The sequence below is a fragment of the Homo sapiens genome, chromosome 8, assembly GCF_000001405.40.
Source record: "Homo sapiens chromosome 8, GRCh38.p14 Primary Assembly".
Lineage (NCBI taxonomy): Eukaryota > Metazoa > Chordata > Mammalia > Primates > Hominidae > Homo > Homo sapiens.
In genome coordinates, this window is record NC_000008.11 from 37441226 (window position 1) to 37469160 (window position 27935).

General features: G+C 41.0%; 1 long non-coding RNA gene across 8 annotated transcripts in view, besides 1 other annotated feature; it reads right to left on the reverse strand.

Moving 5' to 3' along the window:
* Positions 1 to 27935, reverse strand: part of LINC01605 (long intergenic non-protein coding RNA 1605) — a 196324-nt gene that overhangs the window by 37710 nt on the left and 130679 nt on the right. The gene's annotated exons all lie outside the window — the stretch shown is intronic.
* Positions 11904 to 12481: an enhancer, noted in NCBI's record as "H3K4me1 hESC enhancer chr8:37310647-37311224 (GRCh37/hg19 assembly coordinates)". NCBI's record gives its function as "activates a minimal SCP1, AML or CMV promoter by ChIP-STARR-seq in naive H9 embryonic stem cells {active_cell/tissue: H9 hESC(naive)}" and the evidence as "EXISTENCE:reporter gene assay evidence [ECO:0000049][PMID:30033119]".

A 27935-nucleotide genomic window follows, 5' to 3' on the forward strand; every position in this document is an offset into this window, starting at 1 on the left:
CACACCACTGCTGCCTGGGGATGGGGGAGGGGTGGCATCTGTGATTCAAGCCTGTTTTTCTGACCTCTTTAGTGCCTCTTTCAGTGAATGAAGTTAAAACCATGTACTGTGAATGCTTACCTGATTTTTGGTTTTTATGAAGTTGCTTTTTTTGTGTAGATAGCTGTTAAATTGGTGTCCTTCTGGGACAGACAATTGGTTGAGGCTTCTGTTCTACCATCTTGCTCTGCCCCCTCCTTCCAGATTTAATCTTTATCAAGATTGTTCCCGTACATTGAAAGAGATTCTTCTAGGGTCTCTGTAGAAGCACCTTAGTCGTCTGAACATTGAGATGAAAGTTTAAAGACTTGATCTCATTGTCATCTGTTTCAAGTTCTCCAGTGTATTTAGAAGCAGCCATTGCATACCAGGATTCTTGTAGACATTACTATTATTGCCATATTCATCAACTACCGTAGCTATTTGGTTCCCAAAGCATTGGTACAATAAGTAGTTACCACAAGCAATCATAGGTGACAATTTGTCATGTTACCACTGCATGCTATGAATTAGCAGTAGCTCATTTGCCATTGGCAAGGAGTTCAGCATTGTGTTCAAGGGTCCAAAGAAAACTAAACTAAGTCCATACAGTTTTGAGGGTCTTTTTCCTGTGACTACTTCCATTCTCAAGTATTGTACCAGTCAATGTCCAATCAGGAAAATAGACCATGGTAGGTATATCAGTAGAAAAAAATACAGACCATTGGTTATACAAGTATTGAAGGGCTAATGAAGAAAAAAAACAGTGAACTATCATAGAGATAATAACTATAGAAAAACAGCTACTACAGCAAAAGCTGAAGGAAAAAGAGAAGAGTTTAAGGTTACCAGAACTAAAAGCTTAAAGTATAAATCTCAAGATGCAGGGCTTATACTACGGAGGACAGGGCATACTTGATTGCTGCTAGTTCCTTAAGAGTTCATAAGAGGAAGCCCAGAGAGCTGAGACTTATGCCTCAGAAGAGGGGTCATTGCCTAGCTGCTGGTGGTACCTCTGATGGGTCATAATGAGCTGGTTTAGGAATGCTGAAAGAAGCTGAAGGATAGAACTAATTGCTGCATCCAGGGTGAAATATTCTCAATGAGCATTATGGATAAGTACAGAAGCAAATAAGAAAGCAGAAGTACCTTCTTCCCTCCTGTCTTCCATCTCCTTCTAGAGTCCCCAACTGCAGAACCCACCAGGAGGCCAGACAATAAAGGAGAAAGATTGTTTGCAGACTCCCAGCACTGGCAGCACAGAGCAGAAGCTACAAGGATGTACTTGAAAATAAAAGGCAAGAGCCTAATAACCAGTACAAATATGTCTTACAAAAACTGAAACAAGAAAGGTAGAAAATGTATGTTTTGATCATTAAATTTTTCACGAAAGAGGACTCAAAAATCTTTCTCCAGTCTAGGCACGGTGGATCACACCTGCAATCCCAGCACTTTGCGAGGCTGAGGAGGACAGATTGCTTGAGCCCAGGAGTTTCAGACCACCCTGAAAATATGGTGAAACCCTGTCTCTATAATAAATACAAAAAATTAGGCAGGCGTGGTGGTGTGCCTGTGGTCCCAGCTACCTGGGAGACTAAAATGGGAGGATCATCTGAGCCCTGGAAGTCGAGGCTACAGTGAGCTGTGGTTGTGCCACTGCACTCCAGCCCGGGTGACAATGCAAGAGCCTTTCAAAAAAAAAAAAAAAAAAACAGTGCCTCACCTCACATCTGTAATCCCAGGACTTCGGAAGCCTGAGGTGGGCAGATCAAGAGGTCAGGAGTTCAAGATCAGCCTGACCAATATGGTGAAACCCCGTCTTTACTAAAAATACAAAAATTAGCCTGGCGTGGTGGTGTGCACCTGGAGTCCCAGCTACTCTGGAGGCTGAGGCAGGAGAATTGCTCAAACCTGGGAGGCGGAGGTTGCAGTGAGCCAAGATTGCACCACTGCACTCCAGCCTGGGTGACAGAGCAAGACTCCGTTTCAAGAAAAAAAACTCTTTCACCATCGCAGCCTATCAAAGACAAATGGCTTCTCCAAGAGGTTCTACCAATTATTCAAGAGGGAGAAAATAATTTCAATCATACACAACCTCTACCTAACAGACAACATGAGGTTAGCATTACCTTTATATCAAACTCAACAAGGATAGATATTCTAATCCCACTCATAAACATAGATGCAAAAATCGTAAACAAAATACTAGCAAAATGAATGCAGCAATATATAAAAAAGGATAATAAATCTTACCAAATTGGATTTATTGCAAGAATGTAAAGTTGATTACGTTAGTAAATAAATTGTTGTAATCTTACATACTAAGATATTAGAGAAAACAACATTTGAACATTTCAATACATGAAGAAAAAAGCTTGATATAATTTAATATCCATTCATATATTTTTAAAAAATACTTCTAGTGCTAAGAAATAGAAGTAATTTACCTAGCATGATAAATTTTATCTATTTAAAAATTATAGAAAATATAATATTCAATAAACTTTGAAAGCTTTCCTTCTGACACATGAAACAAATCTACCTCCATTTCTTCTCAACCCTTTACTAGAGATGCCAGTCCATGCAGTAAGACAAAACACAGAAATAAAAGGGATATTGAATGAAAAAGAAGAAATAATACTGTCATTATACACCAATAATATAATTGTACACATTAAAAATCTAGAAGAATCTACAAGTGAATTATTTGAATTTGTAAAAACATTTCAAGATAGATAGACAGATATACTAAGTACCACTCTATGATAAGACAGAGTAATCTGTATTGAACTAACACTCTCACAGATAATATGTATAATATGTATATTTTTTAAACAACTATTTGGAAGTACTGAAGATCAACAAAAAGCAGTCAGAAACTGGTGAAGAGTCAAATATGAAAGAGAGAAACTGTCCAGGATATGTATTTGCCCAAGGATACTCTATGGCGCACATGGCGTGAGTCAGCTAGGACTCAAACAGAAAGGTTATGGCTTACTAGCTTAAGGAGCCAAAAAAATGGGCAGTCAAAAATAACCAGAGCAGCTGCGTAGTAAGAGGTGAAATCCTGGAGAAGAGTAAGTAATGAAGAGGGCCCCCGAATTGATGTATAATTTCACCCAAAACCCTGACCAACTCCTGAACTGCACATATGTCAGGGAGATCCGGAGAACAATGGGAAACAACAACCATAAGGCTAGGCTGAAAGAACAAGCAAGGATTTAAACTATTGCCTATTCCAGGAAGGTGGTTTAAAGCTGAGCCCAGCCAAGTTAACTACTTGCTGAAATAAAAATTAACATTCTTCAGAAAAAGATAACAAAATCCAGAATCTCTATGTCTTATCAGCAATGTCTGGTATATGTAAAATATTATTATATATGGGGGATAATTTAAAAAATGTAACCTAGAGTCAAGAAAAAAAAATTTAATGTTGTCTATAGAAACCAACCACCAGATGACCCAGATGTTAGCATTAGCAGACAAGAACTTAAAGAAACCATTAAAAATACGTTCAAGGACTTTAAGAAATTAATGTCATAATGAACAAATAGATAGGAATCTCAACAGAGAAATGAAAACTATAGAAAAGGTCCAAATGAGAATTTTAGAATTGAAAATTGCAATATCTGAAATGAAAAGATGATTAGATAGACTTAAAAGCACATTGGAGACAATGAAAGATGAGGCCAGCAAGCTTGCTGGTAACTCATTAGAAACTATCCAATTTGGACAAAAAGAAGGAAAAGTCTTCTAAGGAAGGAACAGAACCTCAATCACCTGCAGGACAATGTTAAGATATCTAACATATGGATAATTAGAGTTCCAGAAGGCAAGGAGAGAAAGAATGGGGAAACATAAATATTCAAAGACATATGGTAAAATTTTTCCAAATTTATGTGAAAAACATAAGGATCTAAGGAGTTCAGCAAACCCTTGGAAGGTTAGTTACAATGAAAACCACATGTTGACAAGTTATAATAAAACTGTTGAAAACTAATGATAAATAGATAATATTGAAAGCAGTCAGAGGAAAATGGTATATTACGTACAGAGAACCAACAATAGAAATTACGGCTGAGCGTCATGTAAAAAAAAAAAAAAAAAAAAAAAAAAACAGTGAAAGCCAGAAGACAGTGGAAAGATATATTTAAAGCTCCAAAAGGAAAAGAAAAACTATCATCCCAAAATTCTATATCAAATGAAAATGTATTTCAAAAATGATGGTTTGGATCAAAGAAAACTTCCACATATATGCACATTTAATATATGATAAAGGTGTCACTGCAGATTAATGAGAAAGCAATATATTTGTCAATAAATGATCTGAAGAACTACATATACATTTGGTGGAAAAAAAGAAATTGGATCCCTAACTCACACCATACACAAAAACCAATTCAGGATGGATTAAAGACCTAAGTATAAAAAGCAAAGCAATAGAGAGTTTCACACAGGATATAAAACCATCAGTCCCAAACTACTCACTGAGGTTCCCCCAGGACATCGTGTTGAACTCACAGCGGTGCCATGGGATATTTTAAATTTTTGAAGAAAACACAGGGATCCTTGACCCCTGTCAGACACTGAATAAATGATTAGCTCTAGACAGTTTCAATATTAAATCGAGCAACGGTCCCCTCAATGGCATTAAGTCTTTGCAAAATTAGGCTTTCAGCAGTTGCTATAATAAGAAACAAACATCCCATAAAAATCAATATGAAATAGGAAATCAGAATGGTAATATCCAGTCATATTCTAAAACTTGAGAAGTTGTACATCCCCTTAGTAAGTAAATGCAATCATTTAAGGATGAAAAAATTCATTGTTTTTCTTTCAATCAATTTGTATTATTTTTTCAAATGACTACCAAGTTGTTAGAAGATAAATGCTTATTAAGTTGCTTGGAACTAACTACCTAATAAATGGAAATTTTGGGTATTTCTTTTGGCCTAGGCCTTCCATGAAAAAATAACTGACACACAAGGGTATCATGAACTGAGAAAGTTGAGAAGCTCTGATATCGGAGAATATATATGTGACCTCAGGGTGGGAAAGAATTTCTTAAACAGGGGACAGAAAGTACTAATCATGAAAGAACTAAAACATAAATTAAAATTCCTTAAAATTAAGAACTTCTATTCACTAAATGACATCATAAAGATATTAAAAAGGCAAGTCGCAGAGTGGGAAAAAATATAAATCATGAATAAAACTGACAAAAGACTCTCTCCAGAATATATAACAATTCCTAAAAATCAGTAAGGGAAAGAAAACTTTACAGAAAACGGGCAAAAGGCTTAGACACATCATAAAATAGGAAATCTATATGACAAATAAACATGAAAAGTGCTCCTTTTCATCAGAAATCAGGAAAATACAAATTCAAACCACAATAAGAAATATAAAACTATAAAATTTCTAGAAGAAAACATAAGAAAAAGTCTTCATAATTTGGGGTAAGTGAATAACTTTTAGATAAGGCACAAAAAACTCAAAGCATAAAAAAATGATAAATTGGTCTTTATCAAAATTTAAAACTTTTTTTTTCTTTTCTTTTTTTTTTTTTTTTTTTGGTAGAGATGGGGCTTCACCATGTTGCCCAGGTTGGTCTCAAACTCCTGGCCTCAAGAAATTCTCCTGCCTCAGTATCCCAAAATGCTGGGATTATAGACATGAGCCATCATGTAAGGGAAAAACTTCTCTTCAAAAGACACTCTTAAGAAAATAAAACTACAAGCCATGGACTGGAAGAAACTATTTGCAAAATACATATCTGATAAAGAATTTGTATCCAGAATATATAAAGAATTTTTATCAATTCTAAGTAAACAATTCAATTTAAAAATGGGTAAAAGATTTAAACAGATACTTTACCAAAGAAGACATACAAATGGCCAATAAGCAAATGAAAAGATGCTCGACATCATTAGCCACCATTTTGCATTATTTAAATGTAAATTAAAATATGAGCTACCACTGCACAAAGGCACACACACACAAGAATAGCTAAAAATTTAAAAGACTGACAATACCAAGCATTGGAAAGAATGTGAAGCAACCAGAACCCTCACAGACTGCTGATATGTAAAATTTAAAATGATAAAATAAAAAAAAAACACTTTGGAAAACCACTGGTGATTTCTTATTAAGTTAAAATTACACCCTATGACCCAGCAATGCCACTCCTACACATTTATTAAAGAGTAATGAAAAATATATCAACAAAAAGACTCACTGTATGCTTTAGAAGCTTTGTTCATCATTACCCAAAACTGGAATCATTCCAAAAGCCCAACAACAAGAGAATGGATAAACTGATTTGTGTATGCAATGAAATACAACTCTGCAATGAAAAGGAACAAACTGCCAATCCATGCAGCAATATGGATGCATCTCAAAAGCAGTCCACTAAGTGAAAGAAACAAGACACAAAAGAGTGTGTTCTAGTTGGTTCCACCGGAAGAAAAGGCAAAGCTATAGTGACAGAAAGCAGATCAGTGACAGGAGCAGGGGACTGACTGCAAAGAGGCATGAAGGAACTTTTTGGGCGATATAAATGCATCTGATTATGGTGGTGACTGTATGACAGCATACAGTTGTGAAAACTCATCCAACTGTGCACTTCAAAAGGGGGATTATTTTACTGTTTTTCGTCTATACCTCAATAATTGTAAAGGCTTAAAATATTTAATTAAGGATTTAATTTTTAAATTTTTAATTAAGGAAAAAACCACAATGAGCTACCCTTAAATACCCACCAGATTAGCGATACATTTTTAAAGTCTGTTGATATCAAACACTGGCAAGGATAGAGTCCAGTAACCGTTGCAGTTTGAGTTCCCAGGAAGCAAGCTCTGAGACAGAGTTTGGTGTAGGAAGTGTTTATTAGGGATCAGCTCCTATGAAAGGAGGGGAGGAGCAGGAAGAGGCAGAGGAGCCCAGATAGACCACACTCCGGAGCCAGTGCTGCCCATCAGAATCATCCCACAGTGGTACACAGTGGCCAAGCCTTCCCACCTCCACCCCACACAGCCGTGACAATGACAATTCGAATATGTATGTCTTAGAAGCTTTGTTCTTCATTACCAAAAACTGGAAACAGTCCAAAAGCCGATCAACAAGAGAATGGATAAACTGTGATTTGTGTATGCAATGGAATACTACTTCAATGAAAAGGAACAAATTGTCAGGCTGTCCCAGGCAGGGCAAGACCCTGGGAAAGGCTGCTCTGCAGTGGAGGTAGGCTCTGCAGGAGCTGAGTTGGGCAGCAAGTCTTTCTGGAAGGGAAATCTGCACAGCACACCTTTGGGTGTACCACGGAAACATGCCTACTCTGCTGATGGCATTGTAATGTAACACAAGCATTTTGGACCCCAGTTTGGTAAAGGTGAGGATGCATGTGACCTATTACTCAGCATTCTGCTCCTAGGTATGCATCCTAGTGAAATGCAAGCCCATGTACACTGAGATAAATATTCATCACAGTACTGTCCATAAGGGCCCCAAACTGGAAACAGCTCAAAAGTTCATCAGTGATAGAACACATTACATAAATTATGGTACATTTATATCATGGAATAATCAATAAAGAAGCACAGGTCAATAAAAGTACATCTACATATACATATAAAATGTACAGAACTTTATGGATCAGTAAAAAATGAACTAGCTACACCAGTAAGCAAAAACATGGATAAATCACATTAACATAACATTGAGCAAAAAAAAAAAAAAGGCACAAAAGTGTACATATAGGATGATGTCACCCATGTATAGATTTAAAATGGGCAAACCATATGGTTTGGAAATGAATATATAAATTAGAAATCTATGAGGAAAAGCAATGGAATGATTTGCACAGAAATCAGAAGAGTGGTTACTTTGGAGGGAGTGGGTGTTCTGATTCGGGTCATAGCTCCAGGTAAAACCACCCATTTTAGCCATCCCTGGGTGTCCACTTTCTGAATATGAATCAAGCCACCTATATAGGTTTGGAGTATTTTTATTTGCATTTATTTCCCAAAAAGAAGGAGACATGTCACATATGTAATTGTTAGAGGAACTGGGCATGTTTAGCCTGAAAAAAAGAGAAGGCTTAGGGGCCATATAACGGTTGTCAATTACCTAGAGAAAAGAAAGTACACTTACCACCTGCTTCTCCACAGGGCACAGCTCAAACCTTGGAGAGAGAATTTTTTTTTGTTGTTTTGGTTTTACGTTTGTAGAGATGGGATCTTGCTATGTTGCCCAGGCTTGTCTCAAACTCCTGGCCTCAAGCTATCCTCCCACCTCAGCCTCCCAAAGTGCCGGGATTACAGGTGTGAGCCATCGCACCCACTCATTTTTTTTAAAAGTGTCTGATGATCCAAATACAGGAAATGGTACTCCAAGCTCAGCAGTCCATCCACTGGCCTGTTTCATCTGAGGCTGAAGTTAAGTTTAGTGGCTTCAACCTCTCTTCCAGTTCTGCAGCCTCAAGGTACAAAGAACTAGCCTGGAAGAGGATGGGCTGATGGGAGTCAGGAAGCCGTTCCACATATAACAGCAAAGAATGAAGGAGGACATGTTTTTGTTTTTGGATTTTGGAGGTTTTTTTTAGACAGAGTCTTGTTCTGTCGCCCAGGCTGGAGTGCAGTGGCTTGATCTCGGCTCACTGCAACCTCTGCCTCCCAGGTTCAAGCGATTCTTCTGCCTCAGCCTCCCGAGTAGCTGAGACAGATGCATGTCACCACCCCTGGCTAACTTTTGTATTTTTTGTAGAGGTGGGGTTTCACCATGTTGCCCAGGCTGGTCTTGAATTCCTGACCTCAAGTGATCCACCCACCTCAGCCTCCCAAATTGCTGGGATTACAGGCGTGTTTATTTTTTAAAATAAATGTCAGTTAATGGGCCCTTACCGTGTGAGCTCCACCCACCTGGCCATTTCTATCTGGGAAACTCCTGTTGCATTCAGTTAGGCAGTGTGCAGCTCCCAGGTGAACATGTTCTGCTACAGTCCTTCAGGCCAGGCCCTCAGGAGGCCCAGCATCTCCCTCAGAATAAGAACAGTCCTGGGGCTGCTGACTGTGGTTCCCAGCCACCCTGAAGTCCACCAGAGACAGTGCAGGGTCTTGTCTTCCAAGAACTGCCCAGGTGGATGCCCTCCCGGAAAGATGAAGAGCATTGACGCAAGGCAGGGGGTGCCAGTGCCACCGTTCCCGATGGTCACAAGGACAGGCCATGGGTTCACGGGCGTTGTCTCTTTTTTGGTTGTTTCGTGTGCCAGTGCTTTATTAGGGAATGCCGTCTCAGGAAAGCAGGAGTGGGAGAAAAGGAAGGAGCTGGGAAGAAGGGAGAGTCAGGAGAAGAGGGGACCCTGGCTGAGTGGGGCACGGCTTTATGGAAACTGATTGCTTGGTGTCAAAGGATATCTTCAAAGAGGCCGAGGGAAGCCACTCCATCTTCAAAGAGTCCACGCAGGGGAGAAAAGGAGAACAATTTACCCACTGGTGGCCGTCTCCTATTGGTCAAAGTATGTTCCCCGCCCAGGGTGTTAACCCCAGTGTGCTTCAAGGATGCACGTGCCCAAGTGCTAAGTGGGAGCCGCAGTGTTCACTTCATGCCTAAACAGCAACAGAAAACTCCAGGGTAAGAGGCAAAGGACAAGATGCATGGGCAAGAGCAAGGCATGTGTGCATCTGTTGTACTCAGGGACCCTGTGAGGAACTAGAAGAAGCCACGACAGCAGGCTCCTCGGGCAGCTGTGGCTCCAGCAGCAGCAGCAGAAGCAGCAATGGAAGCCAGCTCCAGGCTTCAAAGATCAGCACAGGCATTTTCCAGGGCCCCTCTGGCAGGACAAGTGTTCCCTCCCACTGTGATGCAGAGACAGCAGGAACTGCATGCAGCCCACAGCCCAAGCCAGGAGTCACCCTTGACTTTCTCCTTTCCGGGCTCCACATCCTTTAGTGTCTACATTATCTCATTTAAACAATCAAGCTCAATTTAAGCCTTCAACCCACATTGCTACAATCACCATGACTCAGAAGATTAATCCACCCACGTTTACCATTAGCAATGAGAGACTGTTCTGGCAGAAGGTGAGCTCACCTCAGTTTGGACAGGCTGCAGGGTGTGGGTACAAGTGATCAGGTTCTTATTCCAGACTAAGTGGAGGAGCCTGCTGTCTCCCACTGCCAGTCACCTTTCATTTCTTTGTCTGCCATCTCCCTTGCTTATAAATGATAACCTTTCCCACTGATCCCCAGGTAATAAGTAGCATTAAATTTGCCTCTCCTATGGATGAGACATGGAACTGGAAGTTTTGCCGACTTATTTAATTTATTCATCTTATCACCGTTTTACTGATAAGCAAAGCAAAGCTCGGAGTATTGAGGTAGACTACACAAGGTCACACAGCTATTTAGTAAAAAAGAGCAAGAAAGAACTCATACCACCTCAGATAACCAACTGAGTTCTCCTCCAACCTTCCACTTTTACGCCAAGGCCTTCCTCCATGGAGAAGCTGACTTGCTACTTCCTCAAGAAAAGGCCCACCTGACCGTCCAGGTCTAACTTCTTGCCTATTAAGACCCATCGCCCTCCCCAAGTTCCTCAATAAAACCAAGAGTTTTTCTCCATTATACCCCAAAACAAATACTTCTTACATGTTGAAAAATGTAAGTCACTCCATCCTCCCTACTCTTTTTTCTGCTTAATTTTTGTGATGCCCTCGCTGGTAACAGAGTATGAGGCTCAATCCGTCCTTATTTATGTATTTGCCGAGGAAGCACTGGATGGAGCTTGGTGGCTGAAGGTTTTGCGGGTGAAATCCATAAAAACTCAGCAAGTCTGATGACTTGGGAAAAGACTATTTTCGAGAGGGCATGATGTTCTGGACTTTTCAGCTCCAAGGAACCGGGTCAGCGTGCAAGCAAAGGACACAGGTCAGCTGTACGCACTCGGGGTGTAGCCCACCAAGCTCTCTCAGGCTGGGGACATAATCCCACCAGGGCCCACTGAGCATGCCCGATCCCCAGGCCCCCTCCAGAAGCACAAGTTCATATTCACCGAGATTGCCACCGCACCAGTCAAGCCCTGAATCACGCGTGTGACTCACTTGTCAGCCGATTTCTCTGCAGAAAGCTCTTAGCAGTTAATTTCTGGCTAATTTATTATCCTTCAGCTTAGCCCTACAGCGCCATTAGCTAGGAGCCTGCCACGACTGAGTGAAATATTGTCTAATTTATTATCTTATTACTCCTCTGGAACAGGATCAATTAATTACCCATTAAAGTATTTCAACTGCGGAGATTTATTAGGGGCCCTCTGCATTTTAACAGATGATTAGTTATACATGTTTGTTTGCTTGAAGAGCAGAGACTAGCAAATGAATAGAGGCAATGGGAAGAAAGAGAGAGGGAGCGAGGGAGAGAGGGAGACGGTGCGGCAGGGGGCGGCTAATGGATCTCCTCTAACTCCGTGAAAATGGAGCAGTCAATGACAAGAATTATCGACTCATTCACTTGCGGTTTTGAGATAACCATATGTACAGGGGAAGGGGAGGAGGGGGAGAAAAACCCTCACTCAACTGCTTTTTCCATTCAATAAATTCGCTTCAGAATATATTGGATTGGGGTTTGATGGCTATTTCGTGTTTTGCAGAGTGCTGACACTGGTATGATTCAGTAATTATTGTTTCTTTTAAGTTATTGCTGTAATTTTGCTCTCTAAGATCCCAATCAATTTCTGCCTCTCAAGGGCACGCTTGAAAAGCGATATTTGAAAACAGCCCTCTGATAGATTGTGCTGCTAGACAGTGGCTGAGACAAATAGCCTAATCTGGCACAAATTAGCTTGGCTTCCACAGATAGTTTTATACAGCAATGTAAATTATATTGTCAGGCCGAGTCACTTTCCTGCTTAGAGAGCAGCTAACAAGAAACCATGGAGACGTTATTGGTGCTGCCGTGCACTCCCAGGGCCGCTGCAAAGGCATTTGTAAGGAGAGGGGGAGACGAGAAGAGAGAGAGAGAGACTTTGAGTAACAAAAGCAAGGTAGTCAAGCAGAAGTGAGTTAGAACAAGGAGGCGTGGATCAGGTTCTCCAGTTCTCTTGGTTGGACTGAACTAAGCCCTGGGAAGGGGAGGCTGCTGAGTGTGCGACGGGCCAGTCCATGCCATAGGGGACCGCACGCTCCACTTGCAGGGCTGAAAGCAGGAGAGGCAGTGCTCTGAAAGCAGCCGTGAAGAGATGATCTGAACCCAATACTCCTCTCTGCCTGGAGAATTGGTTTGCACTGGACTGAGCCGGGGGAGGGATGAGGAGATGTGCTAAGCCCAGCAGAAGTAACAACGCGCTGAGAAGAGCTGGAGGAAAACCAGCTGAGCAGAATGTGCTGGCTGGGCTGCACTGCCCATCCTTGGAAGGGCCTGGCAGGATGCTCCGACCAACCCGGAGCAGGCTCCTTGTGCGGGGACGAGGCCCCAAAAGCCAGGCGGGCACTCAGCAGCGCCTGCATCCTCCACTGCTGGCTCCTCCTTCCTCTGGCTGTGGAGAGATCTCCCCTTCTCTGTGCTTCTTGACTTCCGCCCTCAGTTCAAACCCTGCCTCAGCCCCTGCTGCTGGGCCCACCCTTGAGGAACACTGCCTTGGGGCTATGTGACAGCTGCCTAATCAGATTCCAAGTTCTCAGAGGCCTGCCCTGCACACCATTGTGCTGGCAGGCCCAGCCCCCAGGGCAGAAAACATTGCTAACCTACCCAGGGGCCACAGAACCCGCTCTGGGTATCTGCCTAGGCTGGCCTGATGACACAAACGCAAGGAAGAGTCAGTGTTAGGTGGCAACAAGGTACCAGAGGTGAGCAAAGAGACGTCCCCTCCACCCATCCCAAGGCCTTGCCTGGTGGGCTACGGGGAAGGTGCTTTCTTACTGCCCTGAGCCCTTGGACCTACGTGATTGCTGGGTTTGGTTTTTTGGAGATGGTCACACAGTCCTTCATCCTTTCAGTTCCAAGCCTGCCCTGAAGCTGTAATTGATGGTCAAAGACCCATCTTTGTCAGTGACTGAATATACACTTCTAACTGAATGTGTCACATGCGTTTTAAGTAAGGGCACTCAACAGAAAGATTTCTTAAGGGAAAACAGCTTCTCCTCAAACTCCTTGTCTGATAATGGTCCAACAACATTTGCTCCTTTCAAGAAAGATTTTGTTTTGAGTTTCATTTAGTCTCACCTGCCCCATCCAGTTATCATCTGATGTTTCTGGAATACTCTCAGCCACAGCTTTCACATTCCTGCTGAGTAGTCACTTATTTCTCAATGACTCTAGGAGGGCGGTTGGTATTACTACCTCTGCTTGGCTTATTTGGGAAATGAGAGTCGCATGTGTAGATGACAAAAATACAACATAAGCAAGAATGATGTCAACTCCTCATCCAATCTGATAAAAATATCCTCGTCAGGCAGAAGGGCACTTTTATTTATTTAACCCTGCCATGTGACAGATAACACGCCAGATGCTTTACGTAATTTGTGCTTTCTAAATGAACAGGGTAACGCTGTAAAAAAAAAAAAAAACCCCAAAATGTATGACAGCTCTAGCACAATAGAAATGCATTTGTCACTCATGCTTATTCTAAAACGGCATCTGTAGGAGTGGGGTAGCTCTGCTCCAGGTAGTAACTAAGGGCCCCAGCAGCCTTGAACCTTGTGGCTCTACCATCTCCAACATGTGGCTTCCAAGCTTGTTGTGCTCTTGCTGTGTGCCAGGTCTGAAGGGGAAAGAACATGGAGGTTTGTCGAGGAAAGGGCTTTGTGGGGAGGGGGCTGCCCTGTAAGTAGACTGCATCAGCTTCTGCTCACGTTGGATTGATGAGAATTAATCATAGACACACTCCCAGATGCAATTCCTTGGCACTAGCTGAGCAGCTTCCAGAAACTATAGAAGAGAAGCAAGACTCTTTGGTGGACAGCTGGTCCTCTGTGCCATACAATCTAAGCATTATTATCCCCGTGAGATAGAGGAGAAAACTGAAGTATACTATCCAAGGTCACATACCTAGTGAGTGCAGAGCTAGAATTTAAACCAAAGCCTATGCATATTCCACTCTATCAAATTAAATCCTACAGGAAAACAAAATTGAATCAAGAACATAAACTTCCGAGTAAATGTCTTCAGTCATTCTGCCCAAGACTCAAGTTGGAGAATTGGTTTCAGAACACCTACTTCTACGTGATTTTAAAATATTGCATGTGGACCCCTGAGCCAAACTGACCTTGGAACCCAGGAAACAGATCTAGATTTACCTCTTTTAAGAGCAATGGCAGAGATTACTAGCCGGTTTTGCAATTGATGAAACTGAGGCTTAGAGAGTGTAAGTGAATTGTGTTAAGTCACGCAGCTGAGCAAGCAGTAGGTAGGACTGGAACCTCGTCTTCTCACTCTGAGTCAAGGGCATAAACCTCAGCCTTCCAAACCTCCCATCTCATTGAGACCTTTCCCACTACAGCTAGAAAAGAAATCAGAGAACATCATCCTCTCCATGTAGAAAGTCTGCTTAGAGCACCTATTACCTGAAGCTAGAAAGATGGGTGTTTTTGAGGCTCCCACTAACTCTTTCCCTAAATGGCCCCCAAAATGACAAGATTGAGGACTCCACCAGTGCAGAAGTCAGAAGAGTCTTCAGCAATTTATGCGGGAGAAGGACAAAGTTCCTCGAAGGCAAGGATTATGTGCTATTTTATTTATATCCTCAAAGCCTAGTACAGTGTCTGAAAATCTCAACACTGTGCAATAAATATCTATTGGATGGATACACATCTGAATGAATAGATGAAGGCATTCTTCAGTTTCCACTGACAACTAGTAATCAAGATGACTTTCAGACAGAGAGGGACAGGGAAAAATAAATCTCTTCTATGCATCTGTTGGCTTTTCTATAACTCATTGCATTATTTTTGTTTGTTTTTTCTAGTGATTATCATATACATTCTTAACTTTTCACAATCGACTAGAATTACTATTTTGCCTTTTCATGCGAAATATAAAAAGACCATGACTCTATAGGTCTGTTTCCCATCTCTGCCATCCTTTCTGCTGTTGCTGTCACTTGTGTCACATCTACTGTTATAAACCCCATAAGTTGATGCAATATTTTATGCTTTAAATGTGTCACATGCATTTTAAGGAAATAAATAAAAAAGGAGTATTTTATATTTACCTTTCTTTTTTTTTTTTTTCTTTTCAGACAGTGTCTCACTGTGTCACCCAGGCTGGAGTGCAGTGGCACAATCACGGCTCACTGCAGCCTCGACCTCCCCAGCCTCAAGTAATCCTCCCACGTCAGTCTCAGAATAGCTGGGACTACAGGTGTGCACCATCATGCCCAGCTAAATTTTTTTGTATTTTTGTAGAGATGGAGTTTCACCATGTTGCCCAGGCTGGTCTCGAACTCCTGGGCTCAAGAGATCCACCCACTTCGGCCTCCCAAAATGCTGGGATTACAGGTGTGAGCCAACATGCCCAGCTGTATTGCACAATTTTTATGCTCTTCATCCTTCCTGAAGATCCACTTTTCCATCTGATATCACTTCCTTTGAGCCTAAAGAACTTTCTTCAGCATTTTTTGTAGTGTGGGTCTGATGAACTCAGCTAGTTTTCTTTTATCTAAAAATGTCTCTTTTTTACTTGTATTCTTAAATAATATTTTCACTTGGATATAAATTCTGGGTGAGCAAGTCTTTTTCTTCTTTTATAATTTCGAAGGTGGTCCTTTATTATATTCTGTCCTCCATTGACTCATTGTCCTCCTGTATATACTGTGTCCTTTCTCTTGAGAATTTTTTTCATCTTTTAGGTTTTCAGCAGTTTGACTATGATGTGCCAAAGAACGATTTTCTTCATATTTATCCTGCTTGAGGCTTGCTAAGATTCTTGAATGTGTAAATTTATGTCTTTCATCACCTTTGGGAAATCAGTGAAGACTAATCTCTACTTGGTCAATATATTTCATTTTTCATATTTTATATTTTCATATTTTTCAGTATACTTTTGCTGATTATTTCTTCAAATTATTTTTTCCTACTCCATTCTCTCTCCTGTTTTGGAACTCTGTTAAACATATGTTAGATATTTCTATTTTGTCTCACAGGTATCTGAGATTCTATTCATTTGTTATTTGTTTGGGATTTTTTGTTGTTGTTGTTCTATTCTTAGGATTGCATACTTTTTATTGCTCTATCTTCAAGTTTACTGAGTCTTTCTGCTTCATCTCCATTCTGCTTTTAAATCCGTTAAGTGAATCTTCACTTCAGATATTCTACTTATCAGCTCTATTTGTTTTTTTAATAGTGTCTCTACTGAGATTTTTTTAAATTTATTTCAATCATATTTTCTCTGATGTTAATGAGTACATATAATAACTACTTTGAAATCTTATCTATGTATTCCAACATTCAGACCAAGTAGGGATCAGTCTTCAGTGATAGTGTTTTCTGTTGAAAATAGCTCACATTTTCCTGGATCTTTCTGTGTTGAATATTTTTGGATTATATTCTGGACATTGTGAATGTTGTGTTGTGGTTACTCCGGATTCTGTTATATTTCACAGAAGAGTGTTGAGTTGTTGTTATTGTTGTTGTTGTTGTTATAGTGGGTAATTAGCTTTGTTAGACTCAGATTGCAAACTGTCTCTTGGGTGTCAACTCAAATCTTAGTTCAATTCTTCTATCTTTAGCTGAGCTTCTTGGATTGTACTCCATACATGCTTGATTCAGGGTCACCAGAGATCTGCATGAAGTTTATATTTAGCAGCTGTCGTTGCCCGAATCTCTCATCTGGTTCTTCTGGCCAGAAAGACTGCAGGTTTTCTATAGAAGTTTTTAACTTCCCTATGTGGTGCTGACTGCAGCCAAAGGCCTCAGTAAGGGGAAAACTTATCCCATACTCTTCCTTCTTCCAAATATCAATATCCCTGGAGAATCTGCTCACCTTTGTTAACTCTGCAGTGCCTTTGGGTAGCTGGTATTTTAAACTTTTTCCCTAGAGTTTAAAGTTATTGCCTGTTTGTAGAGGGTTGGTCTGATAAGAGTCTGCTTAGCCATAAAGAAATTGAATTATCTCAATATATTTTGAGATGGGGCCAAAAAAGTCAGCTATTTCAACAAGACCTCTTCTCATAATTCCTTGTCCTACTGTGTTTCACAAAACTTTCACAGGTGAAAGAGCTGTATGTGGTGGGGGTGCAAAAGGACAGACTCCAATTATAAATTCAGACATTACTTGACCTTTAATATGGAACATTGCAACATCTTTAACACATTAAGAAGCACTTATCGAGTGTCCACTATATGCCAACCAGCGGTCCTAATGGATAGTACATGTCAAAGCTCTTCCAACTCTGGTTAATATGAATATATAGATTGTCCTGTACCACCTAAGGCACAATTAATAGTGATAGCTACTATTTTGAATGCCAAATGTGTGCCATGTGCTGACTCTAATCATCACAACAATTCAGCATTTTTGTCATCTCTATTTCACATAAGCAGTGTTATGAAGTGGAAAATAACCAGGTGTTGGAATCAGACAGACCTGGATTTAGCTCTAGCTTTGACATTAGCTAAATGACCACATCCTAAGGCAAATCACTAATGTCTCTGAGCCTCAGTTACCTTACCTATAAACTTGAGCATTCAAAGCTGCTATAATGCTAAGAAATAACAGGAATACAAGACCTAATAGAGAACCTCACTCAAAATGGCTACTGTTATTTTCATGGCTGGAAATAACTTAAGATTAGAATGTTTAACTTGCTCATGATCGGGAAGCTATGTTGCCACCTAATAAGTGTCAAAACTGGGTTTCAACCCATGTCCATGCACTTTCTTTATAGTTGGCTACATTATCTTCATAATTATAACCAATTATTGAGCACCTATTCATATTATGTTCAACAAATATACTAGGTGCTTTACATACCTGTAGCTAACCTTGAAACTAACCAAGAAAATTAAAAATGCAAGACCCTCAGATCAGGCAAATTTTCCCCTCTTAGAATTACCAGAATGGTAGGTCTTTAAGATAATTCTTACCTTCCCAGAGTTAAGGTCTCCCCTTGGGGGAATCAATGTTATTGATGGAGGTGCTGTCTACCCCAAAATACCCCACCCAGAGAAGGATATGCTATCTACCCCAAAATGCCCCACCCAGAGAAGGATATGCTATCTACCCCCAAATACCCCACCCAGAGAAGGATACACTGGCTATTCTGGAGAAGCTCTGTAGATGGCCACCTGGTACCCACTTTAGTCAAGAACACATTCCAATGCTCAGATGAGGTTAGAGAGAAAATGAAGTTTCAACAGAAGAATATTTAAGCCTTCCCAAGCCAGTGACAGAGACGGCAGCCTTCTGTTTCTTCCTGTGCATAAGGGAAAGTCAAACTGGGTATTATTCACACATTTTACACCTTGCATTTCAATCAAGTCCCAAGTTATAATAAAACCTCCTTTGTCAAGCCCGTCATCAGTGGTTTCAAGATTATTGAGATGTAGATATAGACCTCCCACACCCACATAGTTATTTAAAGTGATCTTTGAACTCACTTAAGAGCAATTACCTAGTCTGTTGGCCAGATTCCATCTCTCTCCTGTATAGTATAATGTATTTTATTATTTCTGTTTATTACTCCATAATTGTTGACTTACATGTTGGTGTAACATCGCAGTAATATTGTCAGATCTACTGGTATATCTATTTGTACATATATTTGTTCAACAAGTAATTATCAAATGCCTGCCTGTATCAGACACAGAAGCTAGAGATATGCATAGTTGTATTTCATATTCCCTGTCAGGCCTGACACAGTAGACAGGACTCTGGCTCTGAACTCAAGAGATCTGGACTCATGCTCTGGCTTCTTTATTGATTAAGTCAAGGACTTTGGTTAAATCTCTTAACTTCACCAAGCCTCAGTTTTTACACCTGTAAAGTGGAAATAATTCACCTGACATTTCCGACAGAGTCTCATGAGGATCAATAAAGTTATATAAATAGGAAGGGCAGCCAAGATGGCCAAATAGGAACAGCTCTGGTCTACAGCTCCCAGCGTGAGCGACGCAGAAGACGGGTGATTTCTGCATTTCCATCTGAGGTACCGGGTCCATCTCACTAGGGAGTGCCAGAGAGTGGGTGCAGGACAGTGGGTGCAGCGCACCGTGCATGAGCCAAAGCAGGGCGAGGCATTGCCTCACTCGGGAAGCACAAGGGGTCAGGGAGTTCCCTTTCCTAGTCAAAGAAAGGGGTGACAGACAGCACCTGGAAAACTGGGTCACTCCCACCCTAATACTGCACTTTTCCAACAGGCTTAAAAAATGGCGCACCAGGAGATTATATCCCACACCTGGCTCAGAGGGTCCTACGCCTACGGAGTCTCGCTGCTTGCTAGCACAGCAGTCTGAGATCAAACTGCAAGGTGGCAGCGAGGCTGGGGGAGGGGTGCTGGCCATTGCCCAGGCTTGCTTAGGTAAACAAAGCAGCCGGGAAGCTCGAACTGGGTGGAGCCCACCACAGCTCAAGGAGGCCTGCCAGCCTCTGTAGGCTCCACCTCTGGGGGCAGGGTGCAGACAAACAAAAAGACAGCAGTAACCTCTGCAGACTTAAATGTCCCTGTCTGACAGTTTTGAAGTGAGCAGTGGTTCTCCCAGCATGCAGCTGGAGATCTAAGAAAAGGCAGACTGCCTCCTCAAGTGGGTCCCTGACCCCTGACCCCCGAGCAGCCTAACTGGGAGGCACCCCGCAGTAGGGGCAGACTGACACCTCACACAGCCAGGTACTCCTCTGAGACAAAACTTCCAGAGAAACGATCAGCAGCAGCATTCGCAGTTCACGAAAATCCGCTGTTCTGCAGCCACCGCTGCTGGTACCCAGGCAAACAGGGTCTGGAGTGGACCTCTAGCAAACTCCAACAGACCTGCAGCTGAGGGTCCTGTCTGTTAGAAGGAAAACTAACAAACAGAAAGGACATCCACACCAAAAACCCATCTCTACATCACCGTCATCAAAGACCAAAAGTAGATAAAACCACAAAGATGGGGAAAAAACAGAGCAGAAAAACTGGAAACTCTAAAAAGCAGAGCGCCTCTCCTCCTCCAAAGGAACGCAGTTCCTCACCAGCAATGGAACAAAGCTGGACGGAGAATGACTTTGACGAGTTGAGAGAAGAAGACTTCAGACGATCAAACTACTCCGAGCTACAGGAGGAAATTCAAACCAAAGGCAAAGAAGTTAAAAACTTTGAAAAAAATTTAGACGAATATATAACTAGAATAACCAATACAGAGAAGTGCTTAAAGGAGCTGATGGAGCTGAAAGCCAAGGCTTGAGAACTACGTGAAGAATGCAGAAGCCTCAGGAGCCGATGCAATCAACTGGAAGAAAGGGTATCAGTGATGGAAGATGAAATGAATGAAATGAAGCGAGAACAGAAGTTTAGAGAAAAAAGAATAAAAAGAAATGAACAAAGCCTCCAAGAAATATGTGACTATGTGAAAAGACCAAATCTATGTCTGATTGGTGTACCTGAAAGTGACGGGGAGAATGAAACCAAGTTGGAAAACACTCTGCAGGATATTATCCAGGAGAACTTCCCCAATCTAGCAAGGCAGGCCAACGTTCAGATTCAGGAAATACAGAGAACACCACAAAGATACTCCTCGAGAAGAGCAACTCCAAGACACTTAATTGTCAGATTCACCAAAGTTGAAATGAAGGAAAAAATGTTAAGGGCAGAGAGAAAGGTCGGGTTACCCACAAAGGGAAGCCCATCAGACTAACAGCGGATCTCTTGGCAGAAACTCTACAAGCCAGAAGAGAGTGGGGGCCAATATTCAACATTTTTAAAGAAAAGAATTTTCAACCCAGAATTTCATATCCAGCCAAACTCAGCTTCATAAGTGAAGGAGAAATAAAATACTTTACAGACAAGCAAATGCTGAGAGATTTTGTCACCACCAGGCCTGCCCTAAAAGAGCTCCTGAAGGAAACACTAAACATGGAAAGGAACAACCAATACCAGCCACTGCAAAATCATGCCAAACTGTAAAGACCATCGAGGCTAGGAAGAAACTGCATCAACTAATGAGCAAAATAACCAGCTAACATCCTGTCATAATGACAGGATCAAATTCACACATAACAATATTAACTTTAAATGTAAATGGACTAAATGCTCCAATTAAAAGACACAGACTGGCAAATTGGATAAAGAGTCAAGACCCATCAGTGTGCTGTATTCAGGAAACCCATCTCACGTGCAGAGCTAAGCAAATGGAAAACAAAAAAAGGCAGGGGTTGCAATCCTAGTCTCTGATAAAACAGACTTTAAACCAACAAAGATCAAAAGAGACAAAGAAGGCCATTACATAATGGTAAAGGGATCAATTCAACAAGAAGAGCTAACTATCCTAAATATATATGCACCAAATACAGGAGCACCCAGATTCATAAAGCAAGTCCTGAGTGACCTACAAAGAGACTTAGACTCCCACACATTAATAATGGGAGACTTTAACACCCCACTGTCAACATTAGACAGATCAACGAGACAGAAAGTCAACAAGGATACCCAGGAATTGAACTCAGCTCTGCACCAAGTGGACCTAATAGACATCTACAGAACTCTCCACTCCAAATCAACAGAATACACATTTTTTTCAGCACCACACCACACCTATTCCAAAATTGACCACATAGTTGGAAGTAAAGCTCTTCTCAGCAAATGTAAAAGAACAGAATTAAAACAAACTGTCTCTCAGACCACGGTGCAATCAAATTAGAACTCAGGATTAAGAAACTCCCTCAAAACTGCTCAACTACATGGAAACTGAACAACCAGCTCCTGAATGACTACTGGGTACATAACGAAATGAAGGCAGAAATAAAGATGTTCTTTGAAACCAAAGAGAACGAAGACACAACATACCAGAATCTCTGGGACACATTCAAAGGAGTGTGTAGAGGGAAATTTATAGCACTAAATGCCCACAAGAGAAAGCAGGAAAGATCCAAAACTGACACCCTAACATCACAATTAAAAGAACTAGAAAAGCAAGAGCAAACACATTCAAAAGCTAGCAGAAGGCAAGAAATAACTAAAATCAGAGCAGAACTGAAGGAAATAGAGACACAAAATACCCTTCAAAAAATTATTGAATCCAGGAGCTGGTTTTTTGAAAGGATCAACAAAATTGATAGACCGCTAGCAAGACTAATAAAGAAGAAAAGAGAGAAGAATCAAATAGACGCAATAAAAAATGATAAAGGGGATATCACCACCAATCCCACAGAAATACAAACTACCATCAAAGAATACTAGAAACACCTCTATGCAAATAAACTAGAAAATCTAGAAGAAATGGATAAATTCCTCGACACATGCACCCTCCCAAGACTAAACCAGGAAGAAGTTGAATCTCTGAATAGACCAATAACAGGAGCTGAAATTGTGGCAATAATCAATAGCTTACCAACCAAAAAGAGTCCAGGACCAGATGGATTCACAGCCAAATTCTACCAGAGGTACAAGGAGGAACTGGTACCATTCCTTCTGAAACTACTCCAATCAATAGAAAAAGAGGGAATCCTCCCTAACTCATCTTATGAGGCCAGCATCATCCTGATACCAAAGCCTGGCAGAGACACAACCAAAAAAAGAGAATTTTAGACCAATATCCTTGATGAACATTGATGCAAAAATCCTCAATAAAATACTGGCAAACCGAATCCAGCAGCACATCAAAAAGCTTATCCACCATGATCAAGTGGGCTTCATTCCTGGGATGCAAGGCTGGTTCAATATACGCAAATCAATAAATGTAATCCAGCATATAAATAGAACCAAAGACAAAAACCACATGATTATCTCAATAGATGCAGAAAAGGCCTTTGACAAAATTCAACAACGCTTCATGCTAAAAACTCTCAATAAATTAGGTATTGATAGGACGTATCTCAAAATAATAAGAGCTATCTATCACAAACCCACAGCCAATATCATACTGAATGGGCAAAAACTGGAAGCATTCCCTTTGAAAACTGGCACAAGACAGGGATGCCCTCTCTCACCACTCCTATTCAACATAGTGTTGGAAGTTCTGGCCAGGGCAATAAGGCAGGAGAAGGAAATAAAGGGTATTCAATTAGGAAAAGAGGAAGTCAAATTGTCCCTGTTTGCAGATGACATGATAGTATATCTAGAAAATCCCATTGTCTCAACCCAAAATCTCCTTAAGCTGATAAGCAACTTCAGCAAAGTCTCAGGATACAAAATCAATGTACAAAAATCGCAAGCATTCTTATACACCAATAACAGACAGAGAGCCAAATCATGAGTGAACTCCCATTCACAATTGCTTCAAGGAGAATAAAATACTTAGGAATCCAACTTACAAGGGATGTGAAGGACCTCTTCAAGGAGAACTACAAACCACTGCTCAATGAAATAAAAGAGGATACAAAGAAATGGAAGAACATTCCATGCTCATGGGTAGGAAGAATCAATATCGTGAAAATGGCCATACTGCCCAAGGTAACTTATAGATTCAATGCCATCCCCATCAAGCTACCAATGACTTTCTTCACAGAATTGGAAAAAACTACTTTAAAGTTCATATGGAACCAAAAAAGAGCCCACATTGCCAAGTCAATCCTAAGCCAAAAGAACAAAGTTGGAGGCATCACGCTACCTGACTTCAAACTATACTACAAGGCTACAGTAACCAAAACAGCATGGTACTGGTACCAAAACAGAGATATAGATCAATGGAACAGAACACAGCCCTCAGAAATAACGCCGCATATCTACAACTATCTGATCTTTGACAAACCTGAGAAAAACAAGCAATGGAAAAAGGATTCCCTATTTAATAAATGGTGCTGGGAAAACTGGCTAGCAATATGTAGAAAGCTGAAACTGGATCCCTTCCGTACACCTTATACAAAAATTAATTCAAGATGGATTAAAGACATAAATGTTAGACCTAAAACCATAAAAACCCTAGAAGAAAACCTAGGCATTACCATTCAGGACATAGGTATGGGCAAGGACTTCATGTCTAAAACACCAAAAGCAATGGCAACAAAAGCCAAAATTGACAAATGGGATCTAATTAAACTAAAGAGCTTCTGTACAGCAAAAGAAACTACCATCAGAGTGAACAGGCAACCTACAAAATGGGAGAAAATTTTCGCAACCTACTCACCTGACAAAGGGCTAATATCCAGAATCTACAATGAACTCAAACAAATTTACAAGAAAAAAACAAACAACCCCATCAAAAAGTGGGTGAAGGACATGAACAGACACTTCTCAAAAGAAGACATTTATGCAGCCAAAAAACATGAAAAAATGCTCACCATCACTGGCCATCAGAGAAATGCAAATAAAAACCACAATGAGATACCATCTCACACCAGTTAGAATGGCAATCATTAAAAAGTCAGGAAACAACAGGTGCTGGAGAGGATGTGGAGAAATAGGAACACTTTTACACTGTTGGTGGGACTGTAAACTAGTTCAACCATTGTGGAAGTCAGTGTGGTGATTCCTCAGGGATCTAGAACTAGAAATATCATTTGACCCAGCCATCCCATTACTGGGTATATACCCAAAGGACTATAAATCATGCTGCTATAAAGACACATGCACACGTATGTTTATTGCGGCACTATTCACAATAGCAAAGACTTGGAACCAACCCAAATGTCCAACAATGATAGACTGGATTAAGAAAATGTGGCACGTATACACCATGGAATACTATGCAGCCACAAAAAATGATGAGTTCACGTCCTTTATAGGGACATGGATGAAATTGGAAATCATCATTCTCAGTAAACTATCACAAGAACAAAAAACCAAACACCGCATATTCTCACTCATAGGTGGGAATTGAACAATGAGAACACATGGACACAGGAAGGGGAACATCATACTCTGGGGACTGTTGTGGGGTGTGGGGAGAGGGGAGGGATAGCATTAGGAGATACACCTAATGCTAAATGACGAGTTAATGGGTGCAGCACACCAGCATGGCACATGTATACATATGTAACTAACCTGCACATTGTGCACATGTACCCTAAAACTTAAAGTATAATAATAATAAAATAAAATTTAAAAAAAGTTATGTAAGTAAAAGCATCACAATTATAAAATAGTATATATAAATGTGAGCTACTATTACAATTAAGTATTATATATCATTTCTGTTTATTACTAATTGTTTCTTTCACTGTACATTTGTAATAATTTTATGAACAGAAGCTGCTATTGTTATAATTGTAATACGTAAGCCATACATCATTATACAAAGACTTTGCTTAACGTAACAGTGGGTAAATAAATAAAGGAATTATTTGAAGGTAGCATGTTTTTACATATCTTATTAATCAAATAAAGAAGGTAACCCAGCCTTCTTGGAGCTTACAATACAGTCGCAAATACAGATCCCCGTCATTGAATTATTGGCTAGATCAGTGTTAGTAAAGATGAATGACAAGGGGCAGTAGGAGCACAGACCAAGGAGACGGCCCCAGCAGGAAGGAGGAAGGTCTCATTGAGAAAATCATCCCTAAACTCAGCTTTTAAATTAAATAGTAGTTAACAAGCAAGAGAGGGAGACAAGAAGAGTGCTCCAAAAGAGAGAGTAGTGTATTTGACAGAGCAGAATCAAGTGCTAACATTACTGACTGTAGGAACTGCAATCAACCCAGAGTGTTAGGACTGGAGAGAACCAAGGTCAGGGAGGCATGAGATAACCCTGGAGAGACTGGTAGAGGCCAGATCATGCGAGGTCCTCTAGAGCACATGAAGAATTTGAGGTTAAGGAAAAGCCACTGAAGGATATGAAACAGGAGGAATATGATCACGTTTCCATTTTTATAATGGAACTTTGACAATGAAATGGAAAATAGATCTGAAGGGTCAAGACTAAGTGTAGGAAGGTCAGTTAAGAACTTTTGCAATGATCCAAAAAACAGGAATGATGTCTTGGACTAAGCTGGTAACAACAAGGTAGACAGAAGTGTGTGAATCTACAAATATTTAAGACCAGGTGCAGTGGCACGCACCTGTAATCCCAGGACTTTGAGAGGCCGAGGCTAGAGGATCACTTCAGCCCAGAAGTTTGAGGCTGCAGTAAGCCATGATCACACCACTGCACTCCAGACTGGGTGACAGAGTGAGACCCTGTCTCAAAAAATAAATAAATAAAATAGAATAAAAAAAATTTCAGAGGTATGAGTGACTAGGGTTGGAGAAAGATTGGATATGCAGCAGTGAGGGAAAGAGAGAACTCAAGAATGATTCCAAGTTTCTGGTTTGAGCGACTGGGTATGTGATGAGGATACTTACTGAGAGTATGATCGAATCATAGAAGCAGCAGGTTTGAGGGGGAAAATAATGAGGTGAGTCTTGGAGATGTTAAGCGTGAGGTGCCTGTGGCAGAGGAAGCTAACCGTCCTCCCAATAATCATTCTGAGGGACTGCGGGTTATATGTGCTGTAGACACTCAGCTCACCTGAGTCTCTGTCTCCAACTTTCTATTAGGCAGTGCCACGTGGTTGCTTTGCAATACCAGAGACAATACACAATATAATGGCTCAAATAAGACTGAAGTGTACTTCTCTTGCACAGCATAGTCCTGAGTTTCTGGCCATGCCAGGGAGAGCAGGTGAGAAGGTGCAAAGAACCTTGGCCTTACAAGCCAATCAGACAAACTTCATCCCTGTCATTTTCCTTGGGTCATTTTAATAGATTTACTTAATTTCTTATTATTCTATCATTGGGTTGATAACGCCTAGGGCCTTCTATTTTTCATTTTCAAAATAGAACATCCCAGGTTTTAACTGACTACTCAGTCACCCAGGTAATACCACATTGCCTAACTTAGCTGTTGCCTAACTCAGCTGTTGGCCAGGCTGGTCTCGAACTCCTGACCTCAGGTGATCCACCCGCCTCAGCCTCCCAAAGTGCTGGGATTACAGGCATGAGCCACCACGCCCGGCCTACTGAGTCACTTTCTTAAGAGGAAGCGGATTGCCTTCAGCTTCCTCTCCCACTTTGAACGTGCTGGAAACAGTGCATTCAAGACATCTTTCTCTATGTGGAAAAGTGTAATACTTTAAATGGTGAAGTCACAAGACAAAAAAAAAAAAAACTAAATCTCTGGGCAACTTCATGGACCCACTTGGTCTCCCTGGAAAGCCCAGGAATTCTGGACTACGATGTGAAAGAAAACTAAACTAGTCTTAATTTGAACCATTGTACTGTGTATTCTCTTTGGTACGGCAAAGGAGTCAAGAAGAGCTGCCTAGTAGAAAGTTGGAGGAGAGGCTCATGAGAGTTGGAGAGTCTGCAGCCTTCAAAAGGCCATTGAAGTTGTGGCATGTAGACACATTGTCTAGACAAGGGGGAAAATAGAGAAAGGAGAGACTTGGTCAAAACCTTAAGGACTCCAACAAGGTGTCAGGGACCAAACCCCAAGCTAAAGAAGTAAACTGACAAGTGAACCAAAAGGCAAGCAGACCCCAGGAGAAAGTGATGTTCCAGAAGAGAGTGATCACATGCTAGCAAGGGGGCCCACAAGATGAGCACCTGTAAGATTTAGTGTCTTGCAGCTCTTTGGTGACCCTGGGGAACAATTTCAGAGACATTGGTAAAGGACAGAAGCCACATCCAAGTGGACTGCAAAGTACCTGCAGTGATGACTATGACACGGTCATTCAGAAAGTGTGGCTGGAAACAGATAGAAAGAGGTAGTAAATCTAGAGATTATGGCAGGAACATGATTTTTAAGATGGGAGCAGTTTGGCCATGTTTAAGTGCTAATGAGAAAGGAGAGCATGCGTGCAATCTGTAGTTCCAGATCACAAGGG